General features: G+C 44.9%; 1 protein-coding gene and 1 long non-coding RNA gene across 6 annotated transcripts in view, besides 4 other annotated features; one reads left to right on the top strand and one right to left on the bottom strand.

Annotated features, from left to right (window-relative positions):
* SH3RF2 (SH3 domain containing ring finger 2) overlaps positions 1 to 22,130 on the bottom strand; it is a 145,196-nt gene that overhangs the window by 5,424 nt on the left and 117,642 nt on the right. For 2 of the 5 annotated variants that reach the window (XM_006714757.2, XM_017009136.2), the window contains exons 8-10: positions 20,137 to 20,369; positions 16,126 to 16,484; positions 13,616 to 13,924 (exon numbers count right to left, since the gene is read on the bottom strand). In XM_006714757.2, the coding sequence (XP_006714820.1) occupies positions 13,649 to 13,924; positions 16,126 to 16,484; positions 20,137 to 20,369 (868 nt within the window). In that variant the 3' untranslated portion in view covers positions 13,616 to 13,648. Of the gene's footprint in view, positions 1 to 13,057; positions 13,925 to 16,125; positions 16,485 to 20,118; positions 20,370 to 22,130 lie in introns of those variants that run through there. The other 3 variants (XM_011537568.3, XM_011537567.3, NM_152550.4) reach the window with 3 other exon arrangements.
* Positions 1,756 to 2,708: an enhancer, noted in NCBI's record as "OCT4-NANOG-H3K4me1 hESC enhancer chr5:145453205-145454157 (GRCh37/hg19 assembly coordinates)". NCBI's record gives its function as "activates a minimal SCP1, AML or CMV promoter by ChIP-STARR-seq in naive H9 embryonic stem cells {active_cell/tissue: H9 hESC(naive)}" and the evidence as "EXISTENCE:reporter gene assay evidence [ECO:0000049][PMID:30033119]".
* Positions 1,895 to 2,064: an enhancer, noted in NCBI's record as "experimental_81014 CRE fragment used in MPRA reporter constructs". NCBI's record gives its function as "activates a minimal promoter by MPRAs in K562 erythroleukemia cells, with activity observed for both the introgressed and non-introgressed 5:145453934 variant alleles {active_cell/tissue: K562}" and the evidence as "EXISTENCE:reporter gene assay evidence [ECO:0000049][PMID:34662402]".
* Positions 2,709 to 3,663: an enhancer, noted in NCBI's record as "OCT4-NANOG-H3K4me1 hESC enhancer chr5:145452250-145453204 (GRCh37/hg19 assembly coordinates)". NCBI's record gives its function as "activates a minimal SCP1, AML or CMV promoter by ChIP-STARR-seq in naive H9 embryonic stem cells {active_cell/tissue: H9 hESC(naive)}" and the evidence as "EXISTENCE:reporter gene assay evidence [ECO:0000049][PMID:30033119]".
* Positions 6,806 to 6,915: an enhancer, noted in NCBI's record as "active region_23358". NCBI's record gives its function as "activates an Ori minimal core promoter by ATAC-STARR-seq in GM12878 lymphoblastoid cells {active_cell/tissue: GM12878}" and the evidence as "EXISTENCE:reporter gene assay evidence [ECO:0000049][PMID:35858748]".
* The window catches only part of LOC107986458 (uncharacterized), a 131,758-nt gene continuing 118,519 nt past the window's right edge, over positions 8,892 to 22,130 (top strand). Inside the window, exon 1 of the long non-coding RNA XR_001742913.2 lies at positions 8,892 to 9,176. This is a non-coding gene — a long non-coding RNA (uncharacterized LOC107986458). The remainder of the gene's footprint in view (positions 9,177 to 22,130) is intronic.

Below are 22,130 nucleotides of genomic sequence, written 5' to 3'. Positions count from 1 at the left end.
CAACCTGTTAATATCACAATGGGCCCAGAGATGGCCGCTTTGATCTGTATTATCAGTCTTGGTGTCGGCAGCTGTGAGAATGCCCCTCCCAGATTACAGCATCTGCATCCCAAGCGAGTAGCAGTGGTTTGTTTGCTCTTTTTAACGACATTTATTGTGATGTAACATTTCTGAGAACAAGTGAGGGGCAGGGAAGTAATAAGGAAGTAACTGCCAAGGGAAAGCTGGCTGCCACATTAATCTGACCTTCCAGGTTGTGCTAAATGATGTAGAAAGAACTTCCACTCTAAGATCAACTGACATTTTAATAGGCACCCAAAAAATCCCATCAATGGTAGGAGGTGTGACTTTTCCTAGGCAGGCATTGTGCAGTATGAAGTAGCAGCCCTTATTAGCACTGTCTACAGGCCAGGGGTTTTGGGATTAGGCAGGTAATAATTCTTTGTTTACTGAGCACTCAGAAACCAAGTCTATTTGAAGTAAAAAACAAAAACAAAAACATCACCAAAACCCCCTGATGTCTGGAGATAGCTTTTTCATCCTTTTTTTTTTTTTTTTTTTTTTTTTTTTTACATGGAATTTCGCCATTGTGCCCAAGGCTGGAGTACAGTGGTGCCACCTTGGTTCACTGCAACCTCCGCCTCCCGGGTAGCTGGGATTACAGGTGCCCACTACCATGCCCAGCTAATTTTTGTATTTTTAGTAGAGATGGGGTTTTGCCATGTTGGCCAGGCTGGTCTCAAACTCCTGACTTCAGTTGATCCACCCGCCTTGGCCTCCCAAAGTGCTAGGATTATAGGCATGAACCACTCTGTCTGTACTTTCACTCAACCTTAACTGAGGTGGAAAGCAGTTAGCAGCCACAGACTGGAGCCAGATTGCCTGGGTTTATTTCCAAACCCCACAGTTCCTAGCCTTGTGACCCCATGGACGTTTTTTAATCTCTCTAGGCCTTAGTTTCTACGATTAACATGGGGGTAGTAATAGTATTTATTTTATCTGTTTGTGGGAATTTTAAATAAGTCGATGTTTGATATAAGTAAAGCACATAGAATAGTGTCTGACACATAGCAGGTGCTCTATAATTGTTGGCTCAAAATTATTATTATAGATTAAAAGACCTCCTGAAGGATATTTCTTGTGATCCTGCTTCATAATTATCTCAAAGAATAGAAAATCCTACAGGTAGAAACAGGTCATTAAACAGTGGCTGTCACATTTGTTACTGGAGTTTCTTATGCCCTAAAAACCTGTCTCAGTTTCCTAAGTTGAGTTCTTTAAACTTTACATTCCTGTCTATCAAAGGATAATAATGGATAGTAACAAAGATAATAATACCTTAGTGTTTATTTTGTATGGTGTTGTGAGATGTCTTCTATTATTATTCCCTTTATATAGATGAGAAAACTGAGACTTAGATAGGTGAAGTGACTTACCTAAAGTCACACAGCAAGTCACACTTTAGGTACAACTCAGGTGTTCCAAATCTATAGCCTGGGCTTTGAAATGCTGTGCCAGAGAAAGGTTGGGGGAGTGAGGGGGAGACAGAAACAGAGAGAGAGAGAGAGAGAGAGAGGGCAGAGGGCTGAAGGGAGGAAGAGAAGAGACTCACAACTAGTAATAAGTATTTTCTGAATGAGTAAGTGGGTGCAGAAATTCAATAACTATACCCTAATGATAACGAAGGAAATTATATTTTATGTTTCATGTATACAATTCCAAACAACCATTTTGGCTGGTTTTTTTGTTTTGTTTTGTTTTGTTTTTTTTTTAGATGTCAGTTTGCTTATTGTTTGCTGCCTAGTTACTGCTTTAAAGCACTGCCAGGGCCAGTTCCTCTGAAAGGTGAGTTCTTAAGATCTCACAGTCCTGAATGCTGGTGCCTAAGCCAAGTCCCTCGTTGTAGAGATGGGGAACGCGGTGGAGAAAAGGGCGGTAATTTGCCTCTCCGCTTGTAATAACTCCAGTGGCATCTTCCCTATGTTCATCCTTCCTATGACAGGCCTTCTTGTCAGGATAAAAGGGGATTCATTTATTCTCCAATTGTTCATTCAACAAATACTTATTGTATGATAAAAAATGTTTGATAAATGAAAAAGTGTTAATGGCGGTGAAACCCCGTCTCTACTAAAAATACAAAAAATTAGCCGGGCGTGGTGTTGGGCGCCTGTAGTCCCAGCTACTCGGGAGGCTGAGGCAGGAGAATGGCGTGAACCCGGGAGGCGGAGCTTGCAGTGAGCCAAGATCGCGCCTCTGTACTCCAGCCTGGGCGACAGAGCGAGACTCTGTCTCAAAAAAAAAAAAAAAAAAAAAGAGTGTTAATGAAACCTACCCCATGGAGAGTTTCATGGACAGGGGACAGGTTGAGCTTGTTCCTGCTATTCCCACTATGCTGCGTGTCTGGTTCCCTCTTAGTCTTCGGGTCTCAACTCGAATGTCATCCCTTTGGAGAACCTTCCCTGGCCACCCTACGTAATATAGCTCATGCCCCTCAGCCATTCTCTGTCCCATCACTTTGTTTCTTTCATAACATCTGACATGTAGAAATTCTCCTGCTTCTTTGCCATTTACTCCACTTCCTGCAGGTAGGAACCTTATCTGTGTTGTTCACTGCTGTATCCCAACTGTACGGAACAACACCTGGCACATAGCCCATAGTAGATGCTCAGTTGATATCCGTTGAAAAAAAAATGAGTAAGTGAATGAAGTGACATTGATTTTTGCCCAGGAAGAAAACATTCTGCGACTTTAAATGGAGATGGAGTGGGAGCAGCACTTGCCTGGAGCCCATAGGTCATAATGGACGCCCAGCGGGGGTTTAATCAGCATTTTCTGAATTACAAAGTGTGCCAGGGACATTTAATTTCTGTTAATTGGCACCAAGGAGGAGAGGTTGTTATCGAAATCACCAGCCAGCTGGAAGCATGTCCGTGTCAGACCTATTTGCAAATCAGAATGGACATTTCATAAACTGTGTCAACCTTGGGAAGCTGCAAGTGCCCAGAGGGGCAACACTAATGTGCTTGCTGGCTGCATTCTGGGGTACACACAGCCCTAAATCTGAAACCTTCAGCAGATGAGGTGGTGAGGCCGTGGGGACCACCAGATGAGAAAAGACTGACGAGGATTATGGCATAAAATGCATTTTAAAATAATTGTCATATTGCCCCAACCCTGGCACCGTTGACCAGCTTATCTGAAAGGTCAGAGAACAAAGAAGCTGAGATTTCTTGTCCTTCAGAGCTGGCCCCATCTTTGCTAACGGTTGCCCTGGACAAGGGGACAATAATACAACTCATGGGGGGCTTGTGAAGATTAAATGAGAAAATGAATGTAAATAATGATAATGGTAGCAAACATTAAAGTATTTTCTTGTGCTAGGCACTGTGCTAATGACTATTTACATTGTCTCACTTAATCCCCACCAAACCACTTGAGGAAAGCACAATTAATACCTGCATTTTACAAGGGAGGGAACTACAGGTTGGAAAAGTTAAATGACTTGCCCATGATGACACAGCAGGGAAACACGGGGCCTGTATTTGGATCCAGGTCATCTGACTCTACTGGGCTCTTAGCAACCCTGTAGTTACAAACCCTCTAAGGGATTCACTAGGTACCTGCATTTAGTCAACAACTAATGAATGGCAGCTAGTAAGAGATTCTGTTCTTTTTTTTTTAAGATGGAGTCTCACTCTGTTGCCAGGCTGGAGTGCAATGGTGCAATGTTGGCTCACTGCAACCTCTGCCTCCCGGGTTCAAGTGATTCCCCTGCCTCAGCCTCCCAAGTAGCTGGGACTACAGGTGCCCGCCACCACGTCTGGCTAATTTTTGTATTTTTAATAGAGACGGGGTTTCACCATATTGGCCAGGCTGGTCTCAAACTCCTGACCTTGTGATCCGCCTGCCTCAGCCTCCCAAAGTGCTGGAATTACAGGCGTGAGCCACCATGCCCAGCCTGAGATTCTATTTTTATATTTAGCATTCTTCTTGCTCATCCTGCTTTCAAGCCCATGTCATCCTGCAAACTTCTCCAACAGCTACCACTTCTGGGTCCCTTTCTGCATACCAACATCTGGCCTCGTGTCACTTGATTTTCCCAATCACAGTGTGAAGTGCTGATTATTGTTCCCACTTTTCTGATGAGTAAAGAAAGGCTCAGAGAGGTTTGTTAACTTGGTTCAAGGTCAGATAGCTGACAAGTGGGGTCAGGATTTGAACCCAGGGATATATGACTCCAGAGTCCAGGCACTTCCCTTTTCATGTCACATTTCTCTGTGCTGCTCATTTTTCAAAATCTTTCTTCTTCACGAAGCTCTCTTAACAACTAAAACACTCTCACTGTTCTCTCCTCTCACTTCTGTCTGATAGAGCCTAGCTTGCTATTGTACTCTGTTTTGAATTGTGCCTCTACATCCAATAAATGGTAATAGCTACCACTTATTGAACAATTCTATGTACCCAATACCATACTCAGAGCTGGACATGCCTGAACTTGCTAAATCCTGCTGAGAACTCTACTAGGAGGTGCATAGTCTGATCCTCATTTTACAAATGAGAAAACGAGGTCTAGGGTTGTGTCACTTTTCCAAGTTTCTTTAGTTATTTGCCAAAGGAAACATAGCTAGTAACAAAGCTGTGACAAAGATCCAGGTGATCCAGTTCCAAATCTCATCATCCCAGCTATTATATTAATTACTTCTCCAGATCTTGTGACATTCTAGTGGACTGGGAACATAGCTGGTCCTTGACTGATGCTTTTAGTTCTCTGTTGGAGGCCCCCATAACAAAGAAGTCCTAAGCTCCAAAACTTGCCAACATCTAAAAACAACTTACGCTTAAAAAAGAATTCAGCTTATAAATAGAATGTGCAGAACAGAATATTTAGAAATGTAGTTCTGATATCTAAAATTAGCCTTCCCTTCAAAACAGTATCACCCCTTCTGACTGTTTGACTGTTGTTCCTTGTCGTGGAGGCTAGCGCTATCTAAGCTGTGACTGACATGTCCTCTTCGTGCAATGCAGTCCTCTACCCTCTCCTTGACAGAGACATAAGACATCTCTTATGGAATTGGAGAGAAGGTGGTGGTGGGGCTTGCAGGAATCTGGGTACAACCTTTTGAAGGCACTATTTATTTGAATTCCTTTTTGGACCTCCAGGCCTGTTTTAGCTGCCTCTGTACATTTTGATTCAAGCTTCCTTTCTACTTATTTGTGAGGGTCTCCTGAATGCAAATAGCCTTCACAATCCTCTTGGATGGTCAGGGAGTTGTGATTCTCATGGGAAGGTCATTAGGATGGTGCTAGCCTCCAGGACATGTGTGACCTATAGCAGTCAAACCCTGACATCAAAAATGGCTCTCATTAAGTCGGTCGGTCATGCTAGCACTGATTCCAAGAGCATTAACACAAAATGCACATAGTGCACAAAACAGCCTCTGCAGATGTCTTTTGCCTTTCTCCCTAGGCCTTGGCTGGCATCCTTTTAGTCCTTATCAGGCTGCAGCTCTTGTCCATCCAGCAGTGACCCCATTTGCCTAATTAGTTTGCATCTGTGGGTGTGTATCTACCCCCCAAAAGAAATTGCATTTGAACTTCGGATAAACACCAGCAAGGAACACTGGAAGAAGATGTCAGCTCTCTGAGCCCTTTTGTTCCTGCAGAGGAGATGGAAGTGGGGGTCATTTTGGAGATCATATCCCTCTTCTTGTGGGACTCTGCTCTGTATCATTTAGAGTGAGGACAGGCAAAACCAGAAATAATCTCATGAAGAGAGAGTGACCTGGGGAATGCAAAATGATCATTGTGTTTTGATGTCAATGATCCAGAACCACATTGTAAGCTTCAGTTCTTTTTCAAGTGGCTTGGCTGTGTCTGGCAACTTTTGGAGCAGGGGTAGATTTGCTTTTTGGATTTCTCTGTGCATAAAACTCTCAGTTATCTTACTTCTCACCCCTACTTGTTGGACAGCAAGACCTAACCTCATGGTTTTTTTCTGGGAGGGCTTGACCCTGTGAGACAAACCCTCCTCCATCTCCAGCCCCATCCTAGCAAACTCAGCGGCACATCTCATTTGTCCATGCTCTCCAATCTCAACCACGTTGATAGTTGCCATTGAGAAGAGGGATTAAGGTTTTGGCTTAGAGTCCTGGGTTCTAGTCCTTATTGCCTTGGACAGGTCATTTGACCTCTGAGTCTCAATTCTAATCTTCAAAATGGGAAAATAGCAGTACTTCTGTCATAGGGTTGGGTAGAATTAAATGACACAATGTATGTAGCATGTAAAGTGCTTGGCATGTAGTAGGTGCTTGATACATGATGGCAATTATTGCTGGATGAGGAGTCAGAGATGCTTTTTTTTTTTTTTCAGTTTCCATTATACCTCAAACTAGTTTTGTGATCTTAAACAAGGAATTGAAACATTCTGAGTCTCAGTTTTCTGATCTGTAGTCTGGAGGCAAAAATAGCATTTTTCAGGCCAGGCATGGTGGCTCACACCTGTAATCTCAGCACTTTGGGAGGGTGAGGCAGGCAGATCGGTAGAGCCCAGGAGTTCGAGACCAGTCTGGGTAACATAGCAAAACCCTACCTCTACAAAAAATACAAAAATTAGCTGGGTGTGGTGGCACACGCCTGTAGTCCCAGCTACTTGTGGGGGTGAGGTGGGAGAATCACTTGAGCCGGGGCTGTTGAGGGTGCAGTGAGCCGAGATTGTGCCACTGCACTCCAGACTGGGTGACAGGAGTGTGACCTTGTCTCAAAAAAACAAACAAAAAATAAACAAGCATTTCCCTGCATACCTCACAAGGTTCTTATGATAATTTATTAAAAGATTGATAGCAGCAGCAGCAGCAGCAGCAAGATCTCATTTCAGTTTCAGATTCTGAGAAGCTGCTTTTGGTTTCTATGGTTGGCTACCTTGAGGTCCCAGGCAAGGCCCAGAGAGTTACTTTAAAAGCCCCCAAATCACTTAAAAGCCCTCAAGCAATTTGGGCATGGCCACAACCTGTATTTCCCCATTCAGAAGCAACAAGGTCTCCCAAAACAGATGTAGTTGGAAAAATTCTTGACAAAATTCCTCCAAACCAGAAATTCTCAAAACCAGACATGTTGGCGCATCAAAATCAGTTCCCAGCAATGAATCAAAGCCTTAGAATCTCAGGCACAGAAGCCAGATGGGAGCTCAAATCTTCAGGCAGAATATCTACGGCCTTAGGTTGCAATATCTGCTTTGAGTAGTGTTTACCAAATATCTCTATGGGTTGCACTAAAAATTCCATATGGTATATGTGTGGGAGAATTACACGGGAAGGATAAGTGTGGGATGCAGGATAGTGGTTGTGAGGGAGGTTGTGGGGAGGGGAAGAAAGAAATGGGACTGGGAGAGGCACACAGTGGACTTCAGTGGTATTGACAATTACTATTTTTAAAAAAGCTGAGTGGCAGGTATATGATTATTTTTATGATCCTGTATAATTACATATGTGTACAGACATATATTTCATATGTGTGAAGCATTTAATAATAAAAAGGGGAGAAAAGCAGAAAGGAGGCCCCAAATCCAGAAAAGATCCCACCTCGCTGCCTTCTATTTGTCAAAGTGTAGATCAGTGGGCATAGGGCCACCTGGGAACACTGTTTCTGCTTTGGTCTAGGACATAATCTAGGCCTGGAAAACAGTCTGCTCGATCATTTAACATTGCTCTATTTCAAGTAAAATGTCCTTGTATGATTTATTCTCCATGACACCAATTTGCTACGAGGATATTTGGAGTTAACGTCTCTGGTTTGGTCCTGCCTGCCAAACACATTCCCTAAGTGACTGTCTTTCATGGTCAGATGAGAGGTTTCTGGAAGTGCTAGTACTATCTTCTCTTAGCTAAAGAGAGAATCTTTTCTCTCAAGATATAAACAAGAGAAGCATCAGTGGCGGCAGCTGCTGGCCCGGCACTGCCCCGTGCCAGCTCGCTAAGCACTTGGTCCCAGCTGGAGAGACTTGATAGGACTTTGCCGTTCTGCCTGCCACAGCTGTTCACTTCTCAGGAAGGGAGTCCAGAAGCTATGTGGCTGCCTGTGTGGTCAGACGTGGGTGAGAAGATGAGGATGGATGCTTGCTCCTCTCATGGAAACAGATAACTTCCGTACCTGCCAAACCAATGGCAGAGGAGCTGGGAAGCTCACAGGCATTGCTGAGGCCTTTGAAGATGTTAGCTGAGAAAGGCAGACCAGCCAGCATGGAGCTGCCCTCCCTCCCACTCAGCGCCTTTCCTAGGCCAAGGACCAGGTGAAGGTGATTGTCAAAGGCTGGACAGTGGTCAGGAGCGGGCTGGGATGAGTGCTGGGCTTGTTAGCAGAGCTCTTAGCTTTTGAGTGACCTCTCTGGGTCCTACACTGTACTCCAGGGTCACAGTTAAGATATTTAGCAACCAGGATGGCATAGGCACCGGCCAATTGGAATGGAGAAGGGCTTTATTGCTGGAGGTCTTAGCTGCACCTGGCCTGAGCTTTTAGGTGCTGGATGGTAGAGCGATGGGGAGGACCTGAGGGAAGGACCGGGGTGTGGGTGTGGGCAGGCCTTGGGGAGCTCAGAGCATCCACTGTTCACCTATCAGTACAAACCTCTTTCAACATTCTACCAACCAGTGTTGCCACACTCCTGCTGGATGTCAGGGCTGAATGTTGGCTCTGCCATGCCGTATGAGAAAGGTGGATTGGAGCCTCACACTTTATGTGAATCAGAATCACTTGGGGATATTGTTAAAAACAGACACCCAGAACCCGCCTTCAAACTACTGAGTGAGACTCTCTAGGGCCCAGGCCAGGCTTACTACACTCCTAAGTCCTGAGTGTCCTGGATCAGCTGATCCCTAAGTATTCGGCTGCGACTTTCTAGGGGGTTATGAGGACTTGAGAGATGCGGTCCTGCACAGTCTCTGGAGGGAATGTGCCTAATTCAGGGGCAGGTCACGTGGGTGAGTGAAGCAGGCTGCTGTGGCGCAGTATGTTGAAGAATGAATGTTCATTTATTTGAAGCCGCCTTGACCCTGATCCAGCCGCCTGGGTTGCTGCTGCCGGGGAAGGCAGGCCTGGTGTGGACGGACCCCCTGACTTTTCAAGACACACTGGAGGTCACTGAGCCATGTTTTGAGTCAGTTCTGCATCTCATCAAGACACAGGTAGGGGCGCTGCTTTAAACTCTTCCTGCTCTGAAAGCCCTGTCTGTGGGATGGGTGAAGGGTGGAGGAGGTGAGGCGGGTTCCACACACACAGGGAAGGAGACAAGTCCTAAGTAAGGATCTTGATGCTGCTCAATGGGACCATTTCCTCAGGTATGGTCCTCAGAGTATGTCCCCAGCTGGGCATGACCCGCCTTCCCCACTCAGATGTCTCCCATTTTCCCCCAATCAAATCCTACTCTTAGCACTTTTCATAGCACCAAGATGCCAGAGTCTGACCACGGGGCAAAGGGGCACTCTTCCTAGGTACTGTCTGAACCTTAGTTGAGGGGTGATGCTCTCACAGGATGGAATTTTCACCTTCAGACTTGAGGGGCTGGGGTTCTACCTGGGATCTCTGGAATGTTCCACAAAGGAATAAATTCCTCTAAGTATTAAGTGAATTTGGGTCCATTGCTACATTTAAACCCAAATGCTGAAGATCTTTTCCTGCTTGAAATACCCTTTTTCCCACCACTTTGTGTATCTGACTCTCTCTTTTCCTTCAGGACTCAGCTTAGACTGTGTTCTACTTCCAAGACTAGTCTGTGTCAGTCTCCTTTTAGCACCACAGTCCTGGGCAGGCCCTTCTGTTAGAATTTCTTCACTGGAAATTTCAACAGCCTGCTTGCTTAAAAACATCCCAGTCTAAAATTTATTAGGTGTTCATGATGCCAGCACTGTTTAAGTCACTTTGTATCATTATCTCAGATAATCCTCATAATAGCCCATTGAGGTTGGCACTACACTGTATTATTCCTATGTAAGAAAACGAGGCTCTGAGAGATTAAGTAACTGGCCTGACATCCCATGGCCAGAAAGTGGTAAATGAAGACCTGAACTGTATTTGTGCGCAGCCGAGCGTTCTAGGCTCTTTCGCATTTGCAGCCAAAAATGCACTCTGCTGCCTCCTGGCAGTCCAGAGTCAGCATCCTGAAGTCAAGGATGGGTTTTTGGTTCATGGAGCAAGTCCCAAGTTGGGCTCTGAAGTCAGACAGTTTGAGACTGTGTCCTTGCTCTGCCATCATCTGTGGTTAACTTTCAAGCTTCAGTTTCCTTGGCTCTGAAATGGGGACAATCTACCTGCCTTATAGGGATATGGTGGAAATTACATGAGGGGATGTGTTTATCATCTTCCTTGCTGTGTCTAGCACACAGTAAATATTAAAAACATGTTGGGGCTGGGTGTGGTGGCTCACGCCTGTAATCCCAGCACTTGGGATGCCAAGGCATGAGGAGGCCAAGCCGAGGAGTTTGAGGCTAGCCTGGGCAACACAGTGAGACTTCATCTCTACAAAAAATAAAACAATAAATTTACAAAGCATGTTGGTGGAATGAATGAGTTAAAGCTGCCAGTGAAGCCAACTTTTACTTGGAAAAAACATCCTTTGTCCCTTTCAAACCCTCTTAAAACTCCACAAAGATGGGATTTTCTTTGGGAGAGGGTGAGTTTGATGCTGCACATGGGTGAAGAGACTGGAGGGAGTGGAGGTGGCAAGTCTTGGAGTTGTTTGCATCTCTCAGAGAGGTTATCCCAAAGAGATAATAAATAGATGGTGGGAGAAGAATATTTCATTTCATTTGGAAGGCATGGACATCTCCATTCCATCTAAGCACCCTGCTTGTCAGCCACAAAACTTAAAAATTAACTGGATACATTGCCACTGAGGGATAGACTAAATATTTGGTCGGCCAGTCATGCCATATCTGTGCCACTCTGAGTGTAGAGTAGACTGCTAAACATTGCTAAACTCATTGAGAGTGCTTTTTGGGTAAAGATGAGGTATAGGTACTTATATTTTGACAAATCACACAATGCCTCCCTGTCCTTGGGACTTTATCTCATTTCTCCATCTGGATTATTATATTTAGTTCAATGAGGCATGGATTTGGGCATGTTGATTTTGTGGACCTAATGGGTCAATATCTCATGTTTGTTTGGGTCCACAAACATCAGATATTGACCCAAAGTTTGTGAGATGTGGACCCAAACGTGATTGAGATAGCTAGAACAACGTGCTGTCATGTTGGCTCTACCAGCCCCAAAGGTCTGACACAATGGCAGTATTTTATGGGAGGAGTATGGTTTTGTTTTGTTTTATTAAGGTCTGGAAAAAGTCTGTGGACAATTCTGTTTGCCGAGTGTGTGAGTGGGTGTGTAAAAGATACATGTTTTGAATCCCAGGACTTTCAAGAACTATCTAGGGGAAAGGTCTAATTAGACATGCCCCTTCCTCCCTCCCTCCCTGCATCTTTTTCTTTTTCTTTCTCTTTCTTTCTTTCTTTCTTTCTTTCTTTCTTTCTTTCTTTCTTTCTTTCTTTCTTTCCTTCCTTCCTTCCTTCCTTCCTTCCTTCCTTTCCTTCCTTCCTTCCTTCCTTCCTTCCTTCCTTCCTTCCTTCCTTCCTTTCTTTCTTTCTTTCTTTCTTTCTTTCTTTCTTTCTTTCTTTCTTTCTTTCTTTCTTTCTTTCTCTTTCTCTCTCTCTCTTTCTTTCTCTCTCTCTCTCCTCTCTCTCTCTCCCTCTCTCTCTCTCTCTCTCTCTCTCTCTCCCCCTTCCTTCCTTCCCTCCTTCCTTTCTTTTTCTTTCTTTCTATGGCACCCAGCCTTAGTAGCAAATGTTATTTCTGCGTTAAAGTGCCCACATTGATGGGCATGCAATAAATGTTAAATCACAACAATTAAGTTTAATGAGAATTAATGGGTTGTCTCACAGCATTGCCTTGGCTTCCTGGGATGCCTCCTCTACCCTGATTACAAGGCTCTCCCTGGCTGGTCCTGCTCACGTCAGTTCCATCTTAGTGGGGTCATCTAATTTTGCCCCATTCTTCATCGCAGGCTCTGTCCTTCTTTCCTCACCCTGTCAGGGAATGTAAGGTTGCCCCACCCCTTGTCTCCTTTAGCCTCTTCCTGTGCTTTCCCTCAATCCTCTTTCACTCTTACTCTTATGCCTACTTTCTTTCCTCCACATTTTCTTTAACCCCTCCTCTTTCTCCTTCTCCTCTCCCCTGTTTTCTCCTCCAGCCTTCTTTGTCCTACCCTTTTTATAGCAGCTTTCCCCTAGGAAGCACTCCCACCCCAGCCTCGGGCTGCCATGTTCGCACTGGTGTTGTTGCCTTGTGAGTGAAATAGCTCATCTGCCCCAAGTGAGAAGAAAGCAGGGAAAGTCAGGAATATTGCAATGCAAACAATATATATCCAAATATAGATCCTAACCCCAACCCCATATAAAGTTGTTTTTTAGCATGTTGTGCTTTCTTTTTTTCTTTTTTCTTTTTTTAGACAGAATCTCACTCTGTCACCCAGGCTGGAGTGCAGTGGTGCAATCTTGGTTCACTGTAATCTCCGCCTCCCGGGTTCAAGCTATTTTCATGCCTCGGCCTCAAGAGTAGCTGGGATTACAGGTGTGCGCCATCATGCCTGGCTAATTTTTGTATTTTTAGTAGAGATGGGGTTTGATCATGTTGGCCAGGCTGGTCTCAAACTCCTGACCTCAAGTGGTCTGCCCACCTCGGCCTACCAAAGTGCCAGGATTATAGGCATGAGCCACTGCACCTGGCCCACGTTGTGCTTTCTTGAAGTCAGACTATATATCTAAACCCTAACCCCATATAAGATTGTTTGTAAGCACGCTGTGTTTTCTTGAAGTCAGACTGTAGAGCCAGGATGAATTAATTGTCCATAATGCCATACATGGCCCTATCCACAGCCACATGCTTTCTGCTTATCTATTGCATAGGATTATATGTGGGAAAATGGATCGAGAAGCTTAAAGTATGATAATCCTTTGATATTTGGTACTCAGTGATCTCTCTGACCTTCTTAAGTGGAGCATACTCAGGAAGCTGGCTCCTTCTAGTTTTATTGGGTTCTCAGAATGTTCAAAGTATCCACCTCACACCCCGCGCAGAAATCCTCCCTTTGCAGCCAGGATTATGACTTTACAGAGGGAAAAAGATATGGCAGCTACTAGTGGCCAGTGTACAGGCCCCAGAAGATGGCAGAAGTTGTTCTAATGCTTGTTGAGGATATTGTAAGGTCAAAGAAGCAACGCCAACAATCCCACCGTTGTCACACCCCTGCTGCAGCCCCCTTTAGGACACCATAGAAATTCTACACAGTAACACGGGGATGACAAGAGGCCACATACTCCATGCTGGGGCATAAAGTGGGCACGACAATTTTTCACTCCTTGGTCTGAGTAAGCGAGCTTTGTGGCATCAAATCATTATGTTTGTATGTTTGGAAGGCCACGCCATCTATCCTCCCACCCAGGGCAGGAATTTCTGCTCCCACTTTTGCTTTCCTGGAGGTGAAATAGGAAGAACAAGGACCCATGCTCAAGTCCCCAAAGAATGGCAGGATGCCCTCAGTGGAGGCAGACTGTATTTAAATGCAATTCACCTCTTTGGGGTCTAGGAAAAGCCACCCGTAGGTTCATTTGCTGGGAAACACGGTCTGCGTGCCTGAGGCAGTGGACACCAGGGTTGTGGCCTTGCCAAGAGCTGACTTTCTCCGGAGGTCTGTCTGCTGTCCGGAGTGGCAGCCACTTCGGTGGGCAAATAGGACGGTCATCTCTGGGCCCAAGGACGCTGCTTCAGGCTGGGACGCCTTGAGGGTGGCTGGCTGTTCAGGCTTTCCGGAGGTGGGATGGGAGGTGTAATGTTTGGTGGGAGGAGGGCTGTAATTCTGAAATCTCACGGTTTTGACTTGCTGCAAGAGAAAGGAGAGGAAATGGACACAGGTGAGGTGGGAGATGTCTATTTCCCCATGCTTGTCCCCACTTGAAATGTCTCATTTATGTGTTCATTCTGCAAATATCTGTGGCTACCATGAGTGTCAAGTGCTAAGATGGGGGAAGTACAAGATGCTGAGAATGCAGAGGAGCATCTAACTTCAGCTGGAAGTGGAGAAGCCAGGGAAGTCTTCCCAGAAGCTTTAAATTGAGAACCACAAAAGGATTAGGACTTATCTGGGAGAAATAGGGTAGGCCGCCGCCTATAAAAACAGCCTGAGGCAAGAGGGTATGATCCCTTCTGGAAGATTAAAGAAATTTACCTTGCCTCTCTCCTCTCTACGTACTATTAAGGCCAATCTCAAGTTTTTCCTTTTCTTTGAGGCCACTCTCCTGATGACTCCATTTAGAGATTTCCATAATGGCCTTATAAATCCTTAGAGCACAGTTTGCAAACTGGACACCTGCTGGCTGAATTTAGCCTGCAGAATGTTTGAGGGTTTGATCGACTCGCCAACACATAAAAATTGGGAGATTGCATATAAAAATCAGAATTTCATATGTCTCTTAAAAAAAAAATCAAAGCTCTGACGCACTGGGCCTATGGCTCATTCTGACAACAGCTGGCTGGACCTGAGAAGCAGTGCCCCCTTTATATGAGATGCAAGGTCTCCAGTTTATGCCAATTCCCCCTCTTCCTCTTTCCTTTCACATCTCCTAGCCTGTTATATATCTGCTAGGCACCCATAGGTACAGTATTTGCTTTAGCCAGTCTCTATCTCAGGGCCTAATAAAGCGTTCTGTGGTACTGCTCAGGAATGATGTCTTTCTTCCATGTAATGCAACCCTAGTATCCCCCACTAAGATCTGAGTTTCTTCATACGTTCTGATCCTCCTAATATCTAGCCAAGGTCTGGGCATTTATGAAATGCTTATAGTTGTATCTAAAAGCTTGGAGTAATGGGCAACTGGGGCCTAGAAAACTCTGAATTATTTCTATAATTCAGAATAAGAACTCCCAACCTTTATATATGTCAGTGCTTTTTCCAATACCTTTCCCTATGAGCTGATAGCTTAGCAGTAAGAGCATGAGTTTTGCATCAGATCTGGATTCTACTCCACACGTATGTGTCAACTGTGCGGTCTTGGGTAATGTTCTTTAACTCCCTGAGCTGCCATTTCCTAATTTTAAAATGAGGATGAAACTAATGCCTATTTGAGAGGGTTGTTGTCAGGATTAAATATATGGGACACATGAAGTACTCAGCACAGTGCCTGCCAGCTTGTTAGTATTCGATAACTGGTTAACCAATGGGGGAATCGCATCCTCTTTCCGTTCTGAGGGGAATGGACGATGATGGTGGAATGATGCTGATGGCGGTGGTGATGGAGGTGGTGATGGCGATGATGTGATGATGGTGATGTTCATAAATTAAGACAGCAATAAGCATCACCTAACTTTCTTACTGTCCTCTCTTCCCACTATTCCTCCTGCTTCAAGGATATTATTGAGAACATAAGCCTTTTACAAAAACTCTCACGTCTTCTAGTGGGAAATATCCTGGACTAGAAGTTAACAGATCTGACGTCTGCCACAGAGGTCACAATAAGGTAGTTGGAGTCATTATCATTCAGTGTGACCTCGATGTCACTTACATTATCCTGTGCCTCAGTTGCCCCTTTTATACAATGCATAATTATGTGTCAAACCCTATGTAAGCACTTCACATATCTCGTTTAATCTCCACTCCATTACTGTGTGGCCATTACTCTTTCTACCTCCATTTTACAGATTATGCAAACTAAGTGACTCAGAAGGGTGAAGTATTTTGACCAAAGTCACCCAGCTAGCAAGCAGCAAAGCTAGAATTCAAAGCAAGATTCATCTAATGCCAAAGTCATGCTTTTTTTTCAAGCCACTTTTGGGCCTCAAAAGATGTATAAAATATTCAGGAAACATAAAGGCGAATCAGTAACACATGTAGGGAGGGCGTGGGTGATGTTGGGGATGTTGGCCATGGCTCAGTGGGGAGTTGGGGAGGAGGAGTGTTATGTGTGAGGATTCTTTCGAGGCTGCAATTTTGGTTCCTTGTTCACCAACACTAAAATCTCTGAGCTGAGACACTATGCATAGTACGGGATCGAAAGAGTTGGGCCCCCAATGTCACTCTGATCCTACCTTTTCGATGCCATTTCTTGAGTTTTCTGGTTTCACCAGGATGGATGGTGGGGCAGATGCGGGCGGTTTTGGCAGAGGCTCACTCTTGATGGGGATTTCTTTGTCTTCCATAATGAGGGAGCTGGCCGCGGAGTGGATCCAGGCCTCACTGCCCCTGCTGATGCACGTGAGGGCGGGCTCCCCCGTGAGGGCAGGCTTGGACCCCATCTCCACCACCACGGCTGAGGGGGAGGAGGGGATCCCCTGTGGCTGGTAGAATTGGAACTGCTGAGGCCGAAGGACCATGGTGGGGCTGCGTCTGAGGGAGCCTACCACGAGAGTGGGGATCCCGGACTGGAGGGGTCTCTGCAGGGATCCATCTGGGGAATTATAGGACAGAGAGATCAGCAGCAGGGGCGGCTGGCAGTAGGTTGGGTGGGGCTGGGTAAGCAGTGCTTCCTGATATCCCAGAATAGACAAGCGCTTTCCTAATCTGACTGCACTCACATTCTCTCCGGGTCTTTCAAAGGTGACCTTATTCTTTTTTTAGTGCTGTTTGCTGATGCTGGCAGCAAATATCTCTCTGGCTGAATGGTGTGTGTGAGTGTGTATGTGTGTATGTGTGTAGGGGGGCTGTCAGAAGGTATATTGCTTCCATTTGCCTTGTGATACACACACACACACGCACACACACACGTACACACACACACGCGCGCGTGAAGCAGACACAGAGGCAGTCAGACCAAATAGGAAACACATGACAGAATCAGAGATAGGAAATAGAAGACATTGAGAAACACAAAGGAGAGGCAACCGAGAAGAATGAGAGAGAGGAAAAGGAGAAAGAGAGGAGGAGAGAGGAAAACTCTGCCCAGCGACTTGCTGTGAAAATCTTGACAGAAGCTTTAGGCATGTGGCAGGTGGGGGTTGCTTTTTGTCGGGGGCTGCAGGGAGAAAGGGTGAGTGGCAAGGGCTAGGCAAGCACAACAGCAGACAAAGGCAAATTTGGAAAGGTTATTCCACAGTTAGGGCTGTGAGGATGGGCTTTGCAATGTCTCATGACAGAGGATCTGGAATCAGACCTCCTCCTGGAAAGCCTGGGATGAGTTAAGTCACGTCACCTCTCTGCACCTCAGTTCTCTCGTTTGTAAGCTGGAGATAATAACAGTACATCATTGGGCTGCTGTGAGGATTGCATTCTATTTGGTGTGCAAAGTATCAGGATAGTGCCTGGAATATGATAAATGCCGCATGTCTGTTAGCTATCATTATTTTTGGGTAAAGGATCACATATCCTAAAAATGCAAGGTCCAAGAGCTTGGTTTTGTCCCTTCCTGAGCTCATTGTTTTTCTTTTCCTTTTTTTTTTTTTTTTAAATTGAGATGGTCCTGTCTCAGGAAAAGGTCATTTCTTCCCCTCAAATTCTCTGGAAGGCAGGAGATCCCCATCCATTGGACATATATCCTGTAGGTGACCTGGGGAATCAGGAGTTCATTGCATTCTGTGGGGAAGTGGAGGAGACACCCATGAGAAACACACTGGGCCATTTCTCCATAGGGGCCCCTCAGCATTTAGAGAAGCTGTAGGTTTTGTCCCAGCCAGCGTTGTTAGTCCTTTGTGACACTCCAAGGACTTGAGTTTGAATCAAAGTCATTTGTGTCCAGCACAGAGGGTCTGAGCCAAGGCCACGTCTGCATCGTGACTTCTTATTAAGCCAGATGTGTACATGAAAAGCAGGACACTCGCTAAACACAGTCGGTGTCCTCAGCTGCTGCAAGCAAGACAGTCACCATCTACACAAGTGTGACCCTTTCAATTTAGACATTTATTTTTCCACTAACGGCCCTGTGGGGTTCACGCAGTCAATTCTCCTGCCATTTCTCTTTGCTCTGGAGAGACTGATAGCTTGCCAGCCTCACCTTGGGAAAAGAGAGAAAGAGAAAGCCTCCCGGACCTGGGAAGTCAAAGCAGCACCAGGCAGACATGTCCTTAGGCTCTTGTAAATGTGTGAAAAATTGGCTTTATGCCTTATCTATTTATCTTGTCAATTCCTAATTTCCAAGAGATTTAATGCTTTCTTATTACATGTGTATACAATGCAAGCAGTCGAGGCTCCATGCCAATCAAGGTTTTGCAAAGGTGGAGAGGGAGTATATTAAGGAAAGTGTGAGCAATTGCTTTCAGGATGCAACTCTGCATACCTAAGTGGTCTAGACTGAGTGTGAACATTTCTCGTTTTTTAAATCAAATATATATATATAGATAGATAGATAGATAGAGAGAGAGAGAGAGAGAGAGAGAGAGAGAGAGAGAGAGACACTAACAGCCCAGACTGGAGTACAGTAGGAGATTGTAGCTCACTGCAGTCTCAACCTTCCCGGCTCAAGCCATCCTCCTGCCTCAGCCCCAAAAGTAGCTGAGACCACAGGCAAGTGCCACCATACTTGGTTTGTTCTTTTAATTTTTTTTTTAGAGATGAGGTCTCACTATATTGCCCAGGCTGGTCTTGAACTCCTGAGCTCAAGTAATGTTCCCACCTCAGCCTCCCAAAGTGCTAGGGTTACAGGTGTGAGCCACACACATTCAGCCGTGTATGAACCTTTCAACCTTAAGTGAGTTCGTGCTCTGGATGGACCAAAGATGATCTTGATTGCAGTAGCAATGATAGTAATAAAAAAATACTATAAAAAACTAATGTTTCCTGACAGATTATTATGTGCCAGGCACTGTGCTATCAGCCATATATGGGTTGTTTTATTAAGTTAACCCTGATGAGGTAGGAATTTTTATTTCCCATTTACAGAAGAGTGAACTGAAGGCAGAAGAAATTAGTCATTTTCCCAAGGCTGTTGTGGTGGGATTACTTATTGTGTGTGTGTGTTGTGGGGAGAGGTGGAGGGAGGTACAGGAAGGTGATGGAGGGAGGCATAGTTGGGTGGAATGAAGTGCCCAGAGTCATGGGACTGGTAGTCAAACAGGCTGTCAGATGAAGGCACTGGACAGCGAAGCTAAGATATGTGCTTTCTTTTTAAGGGGAGATCTTTCCTTAAAAAGGGGCATATTGTCCCACACGTTACTCTTCTGTATTGACCAATCCTATTGCGTTTTCATGTTAATTCATCTGTTAAGATCACAAGAGAGATCGCAGAGCTTAGTTTAATTCAGGGAACATAGAATAAATCATATTTTCTGGGCTTGGCTTGTTGTCTTCTTCTACAGAGGTATAAGAAAATAAAATCTTGATTTTTGTAGAAGAATTGGGTTTCAAACACTTTTTACAATGCCTGAAAAGGAAATCTTATGTAGAAGTTCACTATGTGAAGAGACAAAAGCATAGTTCTCAAGAATCTGTATGTACTGCCATGTGTGCAATGTGGATGTTATGATGGTAAAAATAAAGCAAGGTGTAGAACAATGCAGTGAGTATGGTTAACAGGTGTGTGTGTTTCCATCTGTCTATCTATGGAAGAGAACTTGGGACTCAGGGTTAAGGATATGAGGGAGATTTGCTTTTGTCCAGTTCGTATACTGTAAACCTTTTTAAAAAAGTTCTATGCATTCATTACTTAAATAACATGGTGGGAATCAGGGGCTCTGATCACTGCCTCCTTAATCCTCATTTCCTACTCCCACGCCCTGCCCATCCACCCCATTCTTCTGTTTCTCCTGTGGCACCCGCTGAGGGATTCCTTGGAATACAGTTTGAGAAGCACTGACCCAGCAAATGCTTTCATCACTGTGTCTTAATAAGAGCCAGTGTCCACGTTGGCCATGTTCTAATTACATGTTGGCACTCAGGGCTGCCATCACCCCAGTCATTCAACAAGCATGTATGAAGTAACCTAGGGCCATCACCTTGAGTTGGTATGACTTCATTCAATAAAACTCATCATTTGGGAATTGTATAATACCCTTTGCAGGGGCTTAGTTTAAAGCCAAGATCCTGTTTTTGCAAAAAGCATCCTGTGTACCCCTGGGTCAGATTCCCCCCATCACTTAGCTCTAGGCACGTACCTCTCTGCCACCACTTACTCTTTCTCATGCTGCTCCGCCCTTTCCGAAGAGACCCTTGTCCTAAAGTCCCAGGGCCGGCTGTGCTTCTCACGGGGTTGACTATGGCAGTGGGCACAAAGACGGATTTGAAGGGACGGCTTTGCCGTGGATCACCTTCTGAAATGCTGCCTTGGGAGGACACAGAGGAGGTGGATAACGTCCATGTGGTGTAGAGACCAGGGCTCCGGGAGTCTGGAAAACTAGAGGTCTTTCTGGTTTTGGAAAATTTTTTTTTTAAGAGAAGAAATAGAGAAAGAAAATGTTCAGTCAAGAGTCCTATTTAAAAACCTATCAGCTCCCAACCACATACCAAATGTGGCTACTTCTCACCTTCTTCCCACCCATACACACCCATTTTGTGAACTACAGGCTTAACTAAAGTTGGCCCCACCTCCCTACACCCGGATAACTGTGAGGGTGTGCTGAGGGAAGGAAGGGGGGCTCATATCAAGGCCTTGGTGGAGCTAGAAGACTTGAATTTCATCCTTTTTCACTCCAGTTCTGATCATTCCTCACCCCACATCCCTTTAGCTCTTAAGCTCAGAGCATAAGATCCTATATGTGTTTATTTCGTTTTACAGTGGCAATTTCTTGTTGAGTCAGTGACTTTTTCACAAATTCCAAAGTCTTTGAAGGCAGAGATTTCATATGACTTATATATCTGTGTTCTGCATATACTGTGGATCAATAAACATTTGTTAAATGTCTGCTATGCTGCTTTCAGCACTGACACATCATTTTGGCTAACACATATAGAGTGCTTACTGTATGCCAGGTATTGGCCAAGTGCTTTGCCCATATTTTCTCATGGGTTCTTTACAATAGTCCTCTAAGCTAGGTACTCTTAGTGCCACTATTTTATAAATAAAAAAACACAAAGACTTATACAGTTGGTTGCCCAAGCAGCTACTTGAACCCAGGTCTAGGCTGGCTCTCTGTTCTTACCAGTGAGCTATACCACCTCCTGGCTAGTTGGAGCATTCATCATTTGGTGGCAGGAAAAGTCCTTTATTCTGCCTGCAACAAATGAACTAAAGCAGATGGTAGGCCCTACACATGCCTCCATAAGACTTTAATTCTTCAGCCTTGGGCTATGATTTTCAAGAATTTCATTAAAGTTTTATGAAACAACAATCCCTTATCCACTGTTTCCAGACTGCAGCTCCCTGAACTCCATGGGGAGTGACTGTCATTTTACATGCCTTTCTTGCCCTTTTACCAATCCATTCCCAACATCACATTTCCTATTGAGCAGTCCATTAATCACCTTGTCACCCTGTTGATTAAGTAACCTCTGCTAATTTCCTGGGAATAACCAACTCAACTAAGACCCTGGCACAGAGATGCCAAATGGTTTCCTTCTTACCAATGCCTCCAAGTTTTCCTTTAGGTCATTTACCCTCATTTCTCCTCTCTCTCTTTGTCTTTCCTTCTTTTGATTGACAAAGTAATATGTAGTTTAACAACAAGCCAGTATTGTACGAAGATAAGTAAGGCATTGTTTAATTGTGGTCAGTGCTGCCTGAGAAGTATATTCAACCAAGTGCTCTAGGAACTGATGGTCGCAGCAAGGGGACTTCAACCTGTCTCTGGTCCCCATGGTGGTGTTGTCAGTGAAAACGAGTACGGCTGTTCATTAGAGAGAGGTCAGACTATATTCTGGGGACAAGGCCTGGGCAGTGGGAAGAAATCTCCAGCATTGGCTTCCATGCCAGAGTGCAACTGATCTGCCTGTCTTTTGAACAGAGGCCTCAAGGTGTTGGATGCTGCAAAGTGGACTGGCAACAGGAAAGACAAATTTCAAATTTTTTCGCAGCAGTAGCAGCAGCAGCAAGGGCAGCATACAGCTAATTAGGCCCACACCAGCCTTATTCCATCAGTCCCCTTTTTGAATGACTCTTTATAGACCAAGGTGTGACCTCATTTTTCTGAGCTCAGCACTGAGCTGGATTCCAGGAACTTCTAAATCCCAA

Source organism: Homo sapiens, chromosome 5 (genome assembly GCF_000001405.40).
Source record: "Homo sapiens chromosome 5, GRCh38.p14 Primary Assembly".
Lineage (NCBI taxonomy): Eukaryota > Metazoa > Chordata > Mammalia > Primates > Hominidae > Homo > Homo sapiens.
This window is presented reverse-complemented; position numbering and strand designations above follow the sequence as displayed.